Source organism: Homo sapiens, chromosome 3, assembly GCF_000001405.40.
Source record: "Homo sapiens chromosome 3, GRCh38.p14 Primary Assembly".
NCBI lineage: Eukaryota > Metazoa > Chordata > Mammalia > Primates > Hominidae > Homo > Homo sapiens.
Window position 1 is genome coordinate 75917485 of NC_000003.12, and position 16720 is coordinate 75934204.

General features: G+C 37.4%; 1 protein-coding gene across 9 annotated transcripts in view, besides 1 other annotated feature; it reads left to right on the forward strand.

The window, feature by feature from the left end:
* ROBO2 (roundabout guidance receptor 2) overlaps window positions 1-16720 on the forward strand; it is a 1743290-nt gene that overhangs the window by 10810 nt on the left and 1715760 nt on the right. The gene's annotated exons all lie outside the window — the stretch shown is intronic.
* Window positions 15654-16174: an enhancer, noted in NCBI's record as "NANOG hESC enhancer chr3:75982289-75982809 (GRCh37/hg19 assembly coordinates)". NCBI's record gives its function as "activates a minimal SCP1, AML or CMV promoter by ChIP-STARR-seq in primed H9 embryonic stem cells {active_cell/tissue: H9 hESC(primed)}" and the evidence as "EXISTENCE:reporter gene assay evidence [ECO:0000049][PMID:30033119]".

Here is a 16720-nt window from a genome sequence, read left to right on the forward strand (position 1 = left end):
CACAATAAACATACGTGTACATGTGTCTTTATAGCAGAATGATTTATAATCCTTTGGGTAGATACCCAGTAATGGGATTGCTGGGTCAAATGGTATTTCTGGTTCTATATCCTTGAGGAATCACCACATTGTCTTCCACAATGGTTGAACTATTTTACAAGGCCACCAGTGGTGTAAAAGTGTTCCTATTTCTCTGCATCTTCTCCAGCATCTGCTGTTTCCAGACTTTTTAATGATCACCATTCTAACTGGTGTGAGATGGTATGTCATTGTGGTTTTGATTTGCATTTCTCTAATGACCAGTGATTATGAGCTTTTTTTCATGTGTTTATTGGCCACATACATGTCTTCTTTTGAGAAGTGTCTGTTCATATCCTTTGCCTACTTTTTGATGGGGTTGTTTTTTTCTTGTAAATTTGTTTAAGTTCCTTCTAGATTCTGGATATTAGACCTTTGTCAGATGGATAGATTGTAAAAATTTTCTCATATTTTGTAGTTTGCCTGTTCACTCTGGTGATAGTTTATTTTACTGAGCAGAAGCTCTTTAGTTTAATTAGATTCCATCTGTCAATTTTGGCTGTTGTTTCCAGTGCTGTTGGTGTTTTAGTCACGAAGTCTTTGCCCACACCTGTGTCCTGAATCGTATTGCCTAGGTTTTCTTCTAGGGTTTTTATAGTTTTAGGTTTTACATTTATGTTTTTAATCCACTTTGAGTTAATTCTTTTATAAGGTGTAACGAAGGGGTCCAGTTTCTCTTTTCTGCATATGGCTAGCCAGTTTTCCCAGCGCCATTTATTAAATAGGGAATCCTTTCCCCATTGCTTGCTTTTGTCAGGTTTGTTGAAGATCAGATGGTTGTAGCTGTGTGGTGTTATTTCTGAGGCCTCTGTTCTGTTTCATTGGTCTATATATCTGTTTTGGTATTAGCACCATGCTGTTTTGGTTACTGTAGTTTGTAATATAGTTTGAAGTCAGGCAGCGTCATGCCTCCAGCTTTGTTCTTTTTGCTTAGGCTAGTTTTGGCTCCACAGGCTCTTTTTTGCTTCCATATGAAATTTAACATAGTTTTTTTCTAGTTCTGTGAAGAAAGTCAATGGTAGCTTGATGGGAATAGCATTGAACCTATAAATTACTTTGGGCAATATGGCCATTTTCATGATATTGAGTCTTCCTATCCATGAGGATGGAATGTTTCTCTATATGTTTGTGTCCTGTCATTTCCTTGAGCTCTGGTTTGTAGTTGTCCTTGAAGAGGTCCTTCACATCCCTCGTAGGTTGTATTCCTACGTATTTTGTTTTCTTTATAGCAGTTGTGAATGGGAGTTTACTAATGATTTGGCTCTCTGCTTGTCTGGTCTGTTATTGGTGTATAAGAATGATTGTGATTTTTGCACATTAATTTTATATCCTGAGACTTTGCCAAAGTTGTTTATCAGGTTAAGGAATTTTTGGGCTGAGGTGGTGGCGTTTTGTAAATATACAATCATGTCATCTGCAAACAGAGACAATTTGATTTCCTCTCTTCCTATTTGCATACCTTTTATTTCTTTCTCTTGCTTGATTGCCCTGGCCAGAACTTCCAATACTATGTTGAGTAAGAGTGGGGAGAGAGGTCATCCTTCTCTTGTGCCAGTTTTCAAAGGGAATGCTTCCAGCTTTTGGCCATTTAGCATGATATTAGCTATGCATTTGTCATAAATAGCTCTTATTATTTTGAGATATGTTCCATCAATACCTAGTTTATTGAGAGTTTTTAGTATGAGGGGTGTTGAATTTTATTGAAGGCCTTTTCTGAATCTATTGAGATAATCATGCAGTTTTTGTCATTGGTTCTGTTTATGTGATGGATTACATTTATTGATTTGCGTATGTTGAACCAGCCTTGCATGCCAGGCATGAAGCCAACTTGATCGTGGTGGATAAGCTTTTTGATGTGCTGCTGGATTCGCTTGCCAGTATTTTATTCAGGATTTTTGCATCGATGTTCGTCAGTGATATTGGCCTGAAATTTTCTTTTTTTATTGGGTCTTTGCCAGGTTTTGGAATCAGAATGATGCTGGCCTCATAAAATGAGTTAGGGAGGAGTCCCTCTTTTTCTATTGTTCAGAATAGTTTCAGAAGGAATGGTACCAGCTCCTCTTTGTACCTCTCGTAGAACTTGGCTGTGAATACATCTGGTCCTGGGCTTTTTTTGGTTGGTAGGCTAGTAATTACTGACTCAATTTCAGAACTTGTTATTGGTCTATTCAGGGATTTGACTTCTTCCTGGTTTAGTCTTGGGAGGCTGTATGTGTCCAGGAATTTATCCATTTCCTCTAGATTTTCTAGTTTATTTGTGTAGAGGTGTTTACAGTATTCTCTGATAATAGTTTGTATTTCTGTGGCATCAGTGGTGATATCCCCTTTATCATTTTTTAATGTGTCTATTTGATTTTTCTCTCTTTTCTTCCTTATTAGTCTGGCTACCGGTCTATCTATTTTGTTAATCTTTTCAAAAAACCCACTCCTAGATTCATTGATTTTTTGAAGGTTTTTTCGTGTTTCTCTCCCATTCAGTTCTGCTGTGATCTTAGTTATTTCTTGTCTTATGCTAGGTTTTGAATGTGTTTGCCATTGCTTCTTTTGATTGCGATGTTAGGGTGTCTATTTTAGATCTTTCCCACTTTCTGATATGGGCATTTAATGCTATAAATTTCCCTCTAAACACTGTTTTACCTGTGTCCCAGATATTCTGGTATGTTGTGTCTTTGTTCTCATTGGTTTCAAAGAACTTATTTATTTCTGCCTTAATTTTGCTATTTACCCAGTAGTCAGTCAGAAGCAGGTTGTTCAGTTTCCATGTAGTTGTGCAGTTTTGAGTGAGTTTCTTAATTCTGAGTTCTAATTTGATTACACTTTGGTTTGAGAGATTGTTTGTTATGATTTTCATTCTTTTGCATTTGCTGAGGAGTGTTTTACTTCCAATTATGTGGTTGATTTTAGAATAAGTGCTATGTGGTGCTGAGAAGAATGTATCTTCTGTTGATTTGGGGTGGAGAGTTCTGTAGATATCTATTAGGTCCGCTTGGACCAGAGCTGAGTTCAAGTCTGAATATCCTTGTTAATTTCCTGTCCTGTTGATCTGTCTAATATTGATAGTGGGTTGTTAAAGTTTCCCACTATTATTGTGTGGGAGTCTAAGTCTCCTTGTAGGTCTCTAAGAACTCATTTTATGAATCCTGGTGCTCCTGTATTTGGTGCATATATATTTAGGATAGTTAGCTCTTCTTGTTGCATTGATCCCTTTACTACTACGTAATGCCCTTTGTCCTTTTTTATCTTTGTTGGTTCAAAGTCTGTTTTATTAGAGACTAGGATTGAAACCCCTGCTTTTTTTTTTCTTTCTTTCCATTTGCTTGGTAAATATTCCTTCATCCCTTTATTTTGAGCCTATGTGTGTCCTTGCAAGTGAGATGGGTCTCCTGAATACAGCACACCTCTGGATATTGACTCTTTATCCAATTTTCCAGTCTATGTCTTTTAATTGGGGCATTTAGCCCATGTATATTTATGGTTAATATTATTATGTGTGAATTTGATCCTGTGATCATGATGCTAGCTGGTTATTTTGCACATTAGTTGAAGCAGTTTCTTCCTAGTTTCATTGGTTTTTATATTTTGGTGTGTTTTTGCAGTGGCTGGTACTGGTTTTTCCTTTCCATATTTAGTGCTTCCTTTAGGAGCTCTTATAAGGCAGGACTGATGGTGACTAAATCTCTCAGCATCTGCTTGTCTGTAAAGGATTTTATTTCTCATTCATTTATGAAGCTTAGTTTGGCTGGTTATGAAATTCCGTATGTACATCATGAAAACAAGTGCATGTGATATACATACACACACACACACATTGCATACTTTCATTTTTATGTCCATTACTTTTCTGATTTCATCAGCAGCTAACTAAAGAAAATAGAAAAAAAAATTGGTAATTTGATCTTTCGTGTTCTGCATCTTCCAGCTTCACACACAGTTTTCTATTTGTATTGTTATTGTTCTATTTTTATTGATCAGAATGAAAAAATATGCTATAGAATCAGAATCAGGTCAGAATCAACAAATATACTATAATGTTTGTAATGCTTTCAATGCAGTTTGTCTCTGCAAAGGGTGTGTGTGTTTCTATGCAGATGTGCATGTACACAAGTGTGTAAATAATGTTTTATTCATGATGGAGAAAGATTTGTCAAAATTATTCTGAATGAGGTAGCACCACTACAGCAGATAATTAGGTATCTAGCAATAAAACAAATCATTAAACATGTTTCTAAGCATCTACTCAGTATCTGGCACAATGTTAAGTAGTAGAAATATAATCGTAAGCAAAATTCAGCTTCTACCCTCAATGGTATATGTGTAGAACAAATTGGTAAAGCTGGAGTACATTTCAGAACCAAAAACAGTTTCTGTATAGTTCCCACTTCATCAAGACCATGTTTTATACTACTCAGACCCTGAAGCCATAAGGAAGCAATTCTTCCATCCACCCTTTTACAGGGTAGTGGTGGGGAAGAAGAACTGACTGTCATGCTTGAATTCGCATAATTTCATAATTAAATAATTTCATGTTACATAATCTCAATAAACCTAAAATCCAATATATGATAAAGATAGTGTTTCAAATCAGTGGGTAAGTGATAAACGGTTCATAAAATGGTGTTCAGATAATTGGCTATATGTATTTTATAGTTGCACAAAGGTATACTATGTCATTCATAAATACTAATTCCAGAGTGGATGTCAAATACACTTTTTCAGAATATAAAGAAAAAATACCATAGACAAATATCACTTGCAACATTACGGTTAAAACTAAATATCTAAACGTAGCCCTAACCAATAACAGAAAATTTTTTAAAAAATATTTATGGATTGGAATTTGTTAAAATATAAAACTTTTCTATTTCAGAGGATACCATGAATATGTGTAAAAAGCAAATATCTAATCAGCAGCAAGTGTTTGCAATTCACTTGACATATTTAAAATATGAGTAGTTCCAACAAATCATAAATAAATGATTAGTAGTCCAATAAAAAAAGACAAAGTACATTGACAGGAAACTGTATGAAACTCATGAACACTAAATGTATTAGATTCCCTATTGTTAAACAAAATGCAAAAACAATAGAGAGCATTATTGATACGGAGTTAATATTTTAACAAAATTATATTATTAATTTTATCCATGTTATAAGTAAATATATACATCCAAAAACCCTTATTTTCTCTGAAAGTTGTCACTTATGAATCTATTTTGAAAATGTTTAAAGAATAGTAATTAACTTTAATAAATAGGTATTCGTATTGAGGGAAAACTGACATTTCCATAATTTTTCTTCTGTTTCTAATATAGTAGATGGTAGGAAAATAATGACAAATGCATGTTCATACCTGGATAATATGCATTCCATTAGTTCTTTTAAACTTTTGCATTCTCAAAACTATACTGATACCTCAAAGCATACCCTTTGCTGTTGAAAGCAGCCTTTCAGGTATAAAGACACACACATCACTTTCCCTAAATCTTACATAAGGCAAGGGCCTAGATGCCTATCAGAAAATATATTTCAAGAATGCTTTTTTAAGTAGTTCCTATGGCCTTATCTTATAGAGGAAGGTTTTTTTTTAAAACATACACACAGTTTTTGATGCACATTTTTATTGGGAAGAGCTTTTATTTCCTTAAATGTTTTGTTGTTTAAGTGTGAAAAGTATCCTGCAGTGGAATTTAGTGGAACAGATGCTTTTATTGTGATAGATGAGATGAACTTGCTTCCCTAAGCATGCATGGGCATGAAATGCATCTGGCTTCTGTACATAAAAGTCAGTTATGTTCCCAAATATGTTTCTGCATTTACACAGACGTTTAGGGGCAGACACCCTACTATTCCCTCAAAAGGCAGCTCTGCTTAATTATGAAGTTCAAGTTAGACCAGAAGTTGGAAAATACTAAATTCCACATTGCAGACAGAGCCTGAGCAGGTGATGTCACCACTGCATACTAAGGTGGCAAGTCCTCAGAGAAGTCACTTATCACCTTACCATGGAGAAAAATAACTGTGTCCAGAACACAAGAGGATGCTGTAAAGTAGCGTACAATCAAGTGTGCAAGCCTGTGCAATACACACCAAATGAAATCCAGTTCAGAGGAGGAAATAAGGGTAGGCTCGGGAAAACAAATAAATGAGTATATGCTTTAAAAAATAGGACTTAATATAAACAGTCATGAGAGTAAAGACTATTGCTAAGCACATAGGAAACACAAACCAGGCTTTCAGGAAGGAGTTTGCACATGTGTGCACTGGTAGGAGGTGTAATGTGCAGAAATCTGGCCTTTTGTGGCATAACAGCTAAAGTTCCTTTTCTATTGTCCAGATAACCTTAAATATCCCTTTATAAAGTAATATTTTAAAAAGGCCATCTACTGTGCACAATGTGTTAGCATCAAGGACATGAAATTTATCTGGAATATACCAAAACTTTAATCAATAGACTAGGACCAAAGCTTTTAAAAATAGTTTTTTTTAGATAAATCATTATAATTTATTATTTCCTTGCCATAGGTAATGCATGATACATAACTTTACTTTTTTCTCAGTTACTTAGTGTGTAGGTAGAATAATGACCCTTAATAGGATGACCTTTTGAATATGTTGTCAGGCAGCATGGGAGCATTGTGGTTGCAGGTGGAATTCAGATTGCTAATCACCTGACCTTAAAATGGAGAGATTATCCTGAATTATCTAGGTGGGCCCACTGTAGTCACAAAGAACCTTCAAACAGGAAGGCCGAAAGACCAGAGTGAGTAGAGGAGCTTGGGGAGACTGGAGCCGAGGCTGAAGTGATGTGCTGTGTGGATGGAGGCAGAGGCCAAGAGCTCAGGGGTACATGTGGCCCCTCAAACCTGGTGAATTCTCCCCTGGAATCTCCTGACAAAATATAGACTTGATGATAACTCGATTTTAGCACACTAAGACCCATTTTGGACTTCTGACCCCCAGAAGTATAAAGACAAAAAATGTGTTGTTTTAAGCCTCTGAGTTTGTGTTAATTTATTATGAGCAGTAAGAAACACAGTAAGACGGCTTTTATTTTTCTCTATTTGATGTATAGAGTTAAATTGGATATTCTAGGAATTATTGGGAATTTATTTTCTTTTCTTTTTTTTTTTTTTTTTTTTTTTTGAGACTGTAGTCTTGCTCTGTGGCTCAGGCTGGAGTGCAGTGGCACGATCTCGGCTCACTGCAAGCTCTGCCTCCCGGGTTCCCGCCATTCTCCTGCCTCAGCCTCCCGAGTAGCTGGGACTACAGGCGCCTGCCACCACGCCAGGCTTATTTTTTGTATTTTTAGTAGAGACGGGGTTTCACCGTGTTAGCCAGGATGGTCTCGATCTCCTGACCTCGTGATCCGCCCGCCTCGGCCTCCCAAAGTGCTGGGATTACAGGCGTGAGCCACCGCGCCGGCCGGGAATTTATTTTCTTCAGATAGTTCTTCATATTAGAATAATGAGAAACATCGAGTAATTAAGTGTTCTATTTTGTGAAGGATGATTATATAAACAGTATGAAGGTTAAAAAACGGGCGGGGCCGGCTGGGCACGATGGCTCATTCATGTCATCCCAGCACTTTGGGAGGCCGGGGCAGACGGGTTGCTTGAGCCCAGGAGTTTCAGATCAGCCCGGGCAACATGGTGAAACCCCATCTCTACAAAAAATACAAAAACTAGGCAGACGTGGTGGCTGGCGCCTGTCGTCCTGGCTACTCCGGAGGCTGCGGTGAAAGGATCTGAGCCCGGGAGGTGGAGGCTGCGGTGAACCGTGATTATGCCACTGCGCTCCAGTGTGGGTAACAGAATGAGACCCTGTCTCCATTCAATAAATAGATAAATAAATAAAAGGGGAGGGTGTCTTTTGAAGGCTACTAAAGTCATCTAAGTGTCCTCTGATTATATGAGGCTGGGATGGTGCATGGAAGGTTGTGTTGAATAACCTGATACTCTTTCTGAAACTATAGAAGCGTTAGTAATTTTAGCCTGAGAGTGCTATAATCTGAGATAATTTGGTCCAATACTTCCAGGGAGGGTTGAAGTTTTGAGATAGCTTGAGTTATTTCAGTTGAAGACCAGAATATGAGGCAACTGGATACTCAATTATAATTCAATTTCTACTCTTTATATTAGGTATGTATTTGCCAGCCACTTATGTGTGGGACATTATGTTAAAGGTAAGGCAGCCACAGTGTAGTGGTAGAAGCAGATGAAAAGTACTACAATAGTCATATAGATGAGGTACTGGGAAGAAGCAGAGTTGAAAAATTGGAGATAGTTGATAGTTTTCCAGAGCCATAGGATTAAAACCAAGTAGGATTGCAAAAGACTCAATTCACTCAAGATGTCTAACTTGGTAATAGGTCAGAACACTAAATTTGTCATATTTTCTTAAAAGTAAACAAAAATGTTCCTTTTGATAAACAACGTGTAGTGCACCTTCGGATTTGATTTTTCTTTATATTCTGTAAACTGCTCACAGTAAAACAGAAAAAAAATCTGACAAATATGATGGTCCTTAAATCTTGTAGGAGTATGATATTCCTCCAAAGAATAGAGGTTTTGCTAGGAAGGCCCTAAGCAAGGAATCAAATTTCCTTTTGCAAGAAATAAAATTCTCAAAAGTTCCCTGCACCTTGGGAAGGCTCTGGTTGAAATTAATAGCACAGCATTATTTATTTAAATTTTAGCTTTTAAGTTCAGGGGTACAAGTGCAGGTTTGTTACAGAGGTGAGCTTGTGCCATGGGGTTGGTTGTATGGTTTATTTAATCACCCAGGTATTAAGCCTAATATCCATTAGTTGTTTTTCCTGATCCTTATAGCAAATATTACCCCCACAAAGTTTTATGGTTGCTTTTTTCTTATCTTCTGATTAGTGCCATTAGATTCACAAATTGAAATTATTTTTCGGTAGTTTAATTCCCTCTAGAAGGTTTAAAAAATGTTTCCTAATTTCCTAAGTCTTCTTTCTTTGTTAGTCTTCTAAAAACTATATTAAATAGAATTCATGTGCTCAGGTACACTTTCACTAAAAGCATACCTTCAACATTTGCCCTGTTTAAAGGTTCTTAAGGTGTTAAGGAACATTAGGTATCAGAGTTTATGGCATTTGATTAATCTGAATAAAGCTTGGCATCAAATTGAATTCAGCAAAAGTAACAGTGATAAATCAAAGAGCAATATTTGAAATGTCTCCATCGAACATTTTAAAACAATTTTTAAGTTCACTAATTTGAGTCATTACACTTGGCCCTAATATAGTAGATTTTTAAGTGAAGCTCAGTCGAACTTGGCAGATATCATATACACACTTTTAATAGTCATAACAATTCCTGTACCTCATTTGGAAAAAGATTATTTCCAGAGCATCAGTGCTTTGACCAGAAAGGCATTTATTATTCTGTAACACTTTTCTTGAGAAATTAGCATGATTTATCATTTGAGTACGCTCTCTCAGATAGGATTCTAATATTTGAGTGTGAATAAAACTTCAGGGCATTGAAAGCAGCTGGAAGATAGATAAAAGGGAGATCATCCTCTCTTGTCATTCTTTATCAAGGTCCTCTTTAATTATTGGCTTAAACAGCAATAACTTTATGGTGAAACAAACTTCTTGGATATAGCATTAAAGGTTGAAATAATGAATTATACATAAATCTATTTAGTTCAGTTATATTCTGTTGAATTGGAAGAAAATCCAATTTTTAAATTTCTCTGCATTCTTGAAGTTAGGAATAAAAGCTGGTGTGGGGTCTCCTGAAATAATGAGGTCTAGAATAATTTCTGTTGTTAAATTTACTTTTTAGCAGGATAAGTCTACTAAAATCAATATGAATGGAACCTTCAATGTACCACTTAAGATAATTAATCTTTGAGAGGTTAAGTAACTATTACAAGGTAGTTTACCTAATTAGCAACTAAGCCAACCAATTTTTGGATTTCTTAACTTTAAGACTATTGCTCACATAGTCACGTAAAGTATATCTTCCACATAGTCACAGGCAATCACAAGCTAACACGAGCAGGTAGCACAAAATATATGTTCCACACAGAATGCAGAACAAAAAAAGACACTTTTAAAATCCTTTTCCCTTTTCCAAATTCATATTTAAAAAGTTTCTTGTGGAATTTCCCAAATGCCAGCATGGCCACATACAATACAGATTGATTACTTAGACCTCTAATGAGAAACACTTAGAATTATGCTAAACAAGGAACACTCTGTATTGATTTAACAAATTCTCCTCTTTCTACTTATAGTTTCTCCTAAAATAAAACGTAACATGTTTGTCTTGTTTGGAGTCTGTATAGAAAAAGTGTGATAACTGAAGATATAGACACACAGGTGTATGTGTGTCTGTGTGTTCCTGTGTATTGTATTATAGCCTTTCTTTAATGATTTTCTCTCTTTTTTTTTTTTTTTTTTTTTTTTTTGAGACGGAGTCTCTCTCTGCCCCCCAGGCTGGAGTGCAGGGGCGCGATCTCAGCTCACTGCAAGCTCCGCCTCCCGGGTTCACGCCATTCTCCTGCCCCAGCCTCCCGAGTAGCTGGGATTACAGGCGTGAGCCACCACGCCCGGCTTATTTTTTGTATTTTTAGTAGAGACAGGGTTTCACCGTGTTAGCCAGGATGGTCTCTATCTCCTGACCTCGTGATCCACACGCCTCGACCTCCCAAAGTGCTGGGATTACAGGCGTGAGCCACCGTGCCCGGCCTCTATTTAAGTTAGCTCTGTCCAGGGCAAACCAGCATTTCAAAAATACAAACTGTTTTTGCAAAAAGCAGTTATACACCTATCCATAGTGCAGACATTATGTCTACTTATTTCTCTGTAAATAGATCTTTCATTTTAACAAGTACTTCACCTTCACAAAATTTAGTGTGAGTCAGTGAACTCTTATCCAGATGCTGTATCTTGGCCAGACCATCAAGAATTAAGCCTCACAGGCAGGTTGTTTCCATTCCTTTAACAAAGTTCATCAGTCCTGGGTTACTTCTTGATTTCCTGCCAGTGGCATATAATGATGACTGAGCCAAGTCAGTTCCCAGAGCTGGACTCTTTTTCTTTTTTCTTATACACAGGAAACTTCTTTTCCAAGAATGCTTGTTCCAGTTGCTCACAGTCTCCATAGCTGATGATTATAGAACGATCTATGTACTTTCAATGTACCTTCAAACATGAGATCTGCAGCTGGTTAAGACGTGTGTGTGTGTGTGAGATAGCTGATGATTATACAATGATCTGTGTACTTTCAATGTACCTTCAAACATGAGATCTGCAGCTGGATAAGACGTGTGTGTGTGTGTGTGTGTGTGTGTGTGTGTGTGTGTGTGATAGCTGATGATTATAGAATGATCTATGTACTTTCAATGTACCTTCAAACATGAGATGTGCAGCTGGATAAGACGTACGTGTGTGTGTGTGTGTGTGTGATAGCTCATGATTATAGAATGATCTATGTACTTTCAATGTACCTTCAAACATGAGATCTGCAGCTGGATAAGACGTGTGTGTGTGTGTGGAGGGGGGGTAGCTGATGATTATAGAATGATCTATGTACTTTCAATGTACCTTCAAACATGAGATCTGCAGCTGGATAAGACGTGTGTGTGTGTGTGTGTGTGTGTGTGTGTGTGTGTGTGTGTTAGACTTAAACCGTTCATTGAATAAGAAGCCTGGTTGATAGTATAAGGAGAGAGTTAGAAGAACAGGGAATTATTTGGTTTAAGGAATTGTGAAGAAAGGTGCTGTGCCATTAAAATTTTTCTATACTTTTGTGTTAAATCTTAATTTTTTGCAGAATTTACTAAGCTGCAGGAAACTGTCAAAATTCACGTTTGCTAAGTTCCATATTGCTTTGTAATTATCTTAAAACAAAACTTGCTTGATACCAAAGTACAATTGTTGCTCTAGCTTTCATAAATTGAGACTGGTCTTTTTCTCACCCTCCACATACCTGTGGCTGGAAGCTGAGGTGGTTGTTCTTGGTTCCCATTACAACTTCTAGACTGTTAATTTCTCCCCTTCTTGCAAATTGTACTGTTCCTTTGAAACTCAAACCCCTTGGAAATATCAGCCATGCCCCTTTGGTATTGCCATCATCAACAGACCTCCTTCCTGGGCACTCTTGTCTTTTTTTTTTTGAGATGGAGTCTTGCTCTGTCACCCAGGCTGGAGTATAATGGTGTGATCTCGGCTCACTGCAACCTCCTCCTCCCGGTTTCAAGTGATTCTCCTGCCTCAGCCTCCTGAATAACTGGGATTACAGGTGCACACCACCACACCCAGCTAATTTTTGTATTTTTGGTAGAGACTGGGTTTCACCATGTTGGCCAGGCTGGTCTCGAACTCCTGACCTCAGGTGATCTGCCTGCCTCAGCCTCCCAAAGTGCTGGGATTACAGGCGTGAGCCACTGCACCTGGCCTCTTGTCATTTATTTAAGGCTTTAGATCTTTTGCTCAATATCATCTTCAGGCAAGTTCAGCCATCATTTTAGTGGCTCAGCATTCACATGAAAGGACCATTACGAACCTCTGTTCCCCATTTTTTGACATCTTTATTTCCATTACTTTTTTTCTTTCCTCCACTTTATTGTCATCAAATCTGAAACATTTTCTATAAGGGTATGTGCCACCAGGATCTAGATGCAAATATTCTGCCTCCTGGACATCACTCCTTGCCAGCTCATTGGCTTGGATATCCTCATTCCTACAATCCTTCATTTTTATTGAGACTCTCCTTGGGACACAGCTGCTGCTGCTCCCTCACAATCCATCCGTACTCTCTTGCTTTCAGTTTCCACGTTTTCCTCCTCAAATGTCGTAGTTCATTTTTAGCATTCCCTTGCAACTACCCTGAGCTTCATTTTCCCACCATTAGTAGAACAATTTATTTGTTTCTATTTCTCTTCCCCAATTTTAAATATTGATGTTTCTAAGGGTTCTGTCCTAATTGCTCTTTTTTCTCTACACACATACTCTCTCTAAGCTCTAAACACTACTAAACAGCTAATAATTTTCAGTTTTAGAGTTTGGCCCAGACCTTTATTCTGGGAGTTGATGGTTTATATGACAATAGCACTCGAATAATTCAGAGATAACATGTCCCGGTTTCCCACATGTCAGTAAGTGGCACTGCCAGCCATGCTAGATGCTTATAAGTCATTTTTGGCCCTTCCTCAATATTCTGACAATATCCAGTTCAACATTCATTTAAAAAATATTTTGGTTCCAAATATATCTGTAATTTCCTCCACTTATTTTGATTTCCAGTGTCCCCAGCCTAGCCAGATCCACATATTTTCTTACCTACTCTATTTTCTTAGGCTCATCCTTAGTCAACCTACTTTAATTCTTAATCTCCTACACTTTGTTAGCTACATAGAAACCAAAGTGATCTCTTAACGTGTCTTTCAGTTTCCAACTCTCCCGCTTTTCTGGTGTACTTGGACTAAGACCTATGTTCCTCATCATTGCTAATGAAGACCTGTACAGTTTCACATATCTTTCTCTTTCAGCCACATCTCACATTAGTCTTTATCCCTTTTGTGCTTCATCCAGATTCCTACTTTTCAGTTTTTTATTTCATCCAATTCACAGGTTTCTTCTACATGCCAAGATGTTGCTCATATATTAGGGTCCTTGAACACTGTGGGTTTTTTCTTAAAAGACGAACCTTTCTGTATTGTATGAAAAGCTAACTCTTTTTATTCTCAGGTCTTAGCTTAAATATTCTCACTTGAAAGAAGTAGTTAGAATCTGTATAATCCAAATTAATATTTCTTTTTTTCTTTTTCTTTTGAGACAGGGTCTTTCTCTGTCACCCAAGCTGGAGTGCAGTGGCACAATCTTGGCTCACTGAAACCTCTGCCTCCTGGGTCCAAGCAGTTTTCCTTCCTCAGCCTCCTGAGTAGCTGGGACTACAAGCACACACCACTACACCTGGCTAACTGTTTTATTTTTAGTAGAGATGGGGTTTTGCCATGTTGATCAGACTGGTCTTAAACTCCTGGACTCAAGTGATTCATCCGCCTTGGCCTCCCAAAATGCTGGGATTACAGGCATAAGCCACCACGCCCGGCCCAAATTAATATATCTATATATAAAAATTTCATGTATAAATCTTACATAATCTGAATTAAGATTATATCTGTCTGATGTTCCCCCCAACACCCTTGTTGTGTATTCAGTCCCCTGCTTGACTTTGCATGTGAATACATTTTGTAATAATCTCTTCTCTTTTCTTAGTTGGGTTTCTGTACCTGTCTTCATCTTCAGAATTAAAACCCTAGGAGTACAGGACTATGGCTTTCTTATTCACCACTGCAGCTCAGTAACTAAGATAACATCTGATACATATTTGTTAAGGGAATTGATTAAATATAGACCACTAGGTCCAGTGGAGTCCACAGTCTATTCACTTCATGTAGTTTCCGAGAAACAAAGGTTTCTCAACGTATATTAATGAATGAGATATGGGCCAGGGTATATAGTCTGGCTGGAGATCTGGCTTAACTTTGAGTTCACTTGAGAGGGTATCAGTGTAAGCAGGAGTGGTTTTACTCACTTCAAGAATTGCATGGTGTTTAGGAGGAAAAATCACCCTGCTTCTCTGGAGAGACTTTAGGGCTCTGTGGCTCCTGTGGGCTCTCAAACTATTGGAAGATTACTACTAAATCTGAGGAGTTTTCAGGTCTCTTAGTTATATTCATTTAAACTTAGACTTAGATGATTTGTCACTATTTTAATTTGTTTTTCACTGAAAAGTCAGTCTGAATATAGAGCCTTATTTCATTCAGATCAGAAAAACTGGGTTACTGTGAAATCTGTTTATCTATAATTTTTAAGTAAGTACAATTTTATAAACCAGTTATTCCTAACTTGAGAGGCCTGGAGGATTTATTACAATATGTATTTCAGTGCCACATCTGCAGAAGTTGTGATACAACATTTCCTTACTAATACCCCTGACAGCACATTTTAGCAGGCATCGTGTGTTATTCAGAAGCAGAACGTTTATGCACTACACTTTGGGAGGGAGAAGTGCGTGTTATGTTACCATTTAAAGATGCCTGGTTCTTGTGGGGCAAATTGGCAAATGATTTATCTGAACTAATGGCAGAGTGGAATTTTAATACTTTAGAGTTTTCAGGAATCTTAGAGCTGTTTTCATTTGTCTCATACATAGAGCCTGAACCTTGAAGACATTAATTAATTTGTCACAGAAATTAAATGGGGTCAAAATTTACATTTCCAACCCATGTCTGTGCTCTTCATTCTAAAGCACGATGGCCTAGAGTCATATTTTAACCTCTAAGTTTTATCTTATTAAAAAATAAAATAAATAATTTTAAATACATGCATGTGTTATATCTATATATACAATTTATATACATTACAATATTAATTTGAATTACACAAGACTTTGGACATCACTATTAAAGGCCAGGTACAGTTTAGACTGAGATAAGCCCTGCCTGTGAGAATTTACTAAGGTCAAAAAGACTCCTTTTAATAGTGACTCAGTGGCACCTAGTCTAAGGACAAAGGCTCCAGTATACATCTTAATCTAAGTTATTACTGAATGTGAGTCATGTGATGGCTTCTAATGAAAATTTTCCATTGAAAAAAATCAATGTTAATAACTGGAACTCAAGAGCTGTAATGGGCTCTGCTGTGTTTTTCTGGCTTAGACTGTGTGCTGTAATATGCTAAGAAGAGGAATTGATGACCCATGAGCTCTGGTGACTTCCTGATCTCATTTGATTCTTTGGTCTTTAGTTTTAAAAGGGTGATCAGAGAGGTTGCTTTATAATGGAGAAGTTGAACAAACGGACCATCAACCTGCAGGCTCACTGGCACAGCCCAAGTTTCACTGGATAAGCATTTCAGTAAAGAGGACTATTGCCAACAGCAATACTTGCAGGGAAGCTTTGTTCCAGAGAGGATTTTTTTTTTTTTTAAAGAAGCTGCTAGAAAAACTGACACTAGAAGCTAACTAGAGTCACTCTTTCTAGATAACAATGAAATTGCCAGTCTGAAGACATTACTTACCTAGTTACAGAAGTGGACTTTATTTAAGAACCAACTTTATACATACATAATATACCTAGGCTTGTTGGTCAAGTTGGCTGGCTGGGGAAGAATAAAACCATCTAGAAGATCCACATGACGAGTGGAACCATTCGGGGAGGGCAGACAGATACCTGATGCTGGCCACAGATAGAAGCCAGAGATGCTCTGTGATTGAAGTGGTTCTAATACCTGGAAACTTCGATTTGCTCTTATAACGTGTTCTAAAGCCATTTAATTCAGGACTACCCTTCCTGGTTGGTACCTGTAGATGTAATGCATCTCTTAAACTGTGGGGGTATTACTCTAGGCTCCATCGGACAACTACCTGGAGATAGGTTGTGGAGCCTCCAGACTCCACAACACATTTCACAGAGCTGTTTACTCCAAAACACTTGCCTAATTAAACTAATGTAGCTATTGGATAAGACGAGAAGTAATACGCGAACATTCTTAAAGTCTGTTCTCTTTTGCCTTGTGACCTTAAACATTTGAAAGACCAAGATGAACACTATTGAATGGAATTGTGTTTCCATCATCATAACAAATCTGAAAGCCTAAGTT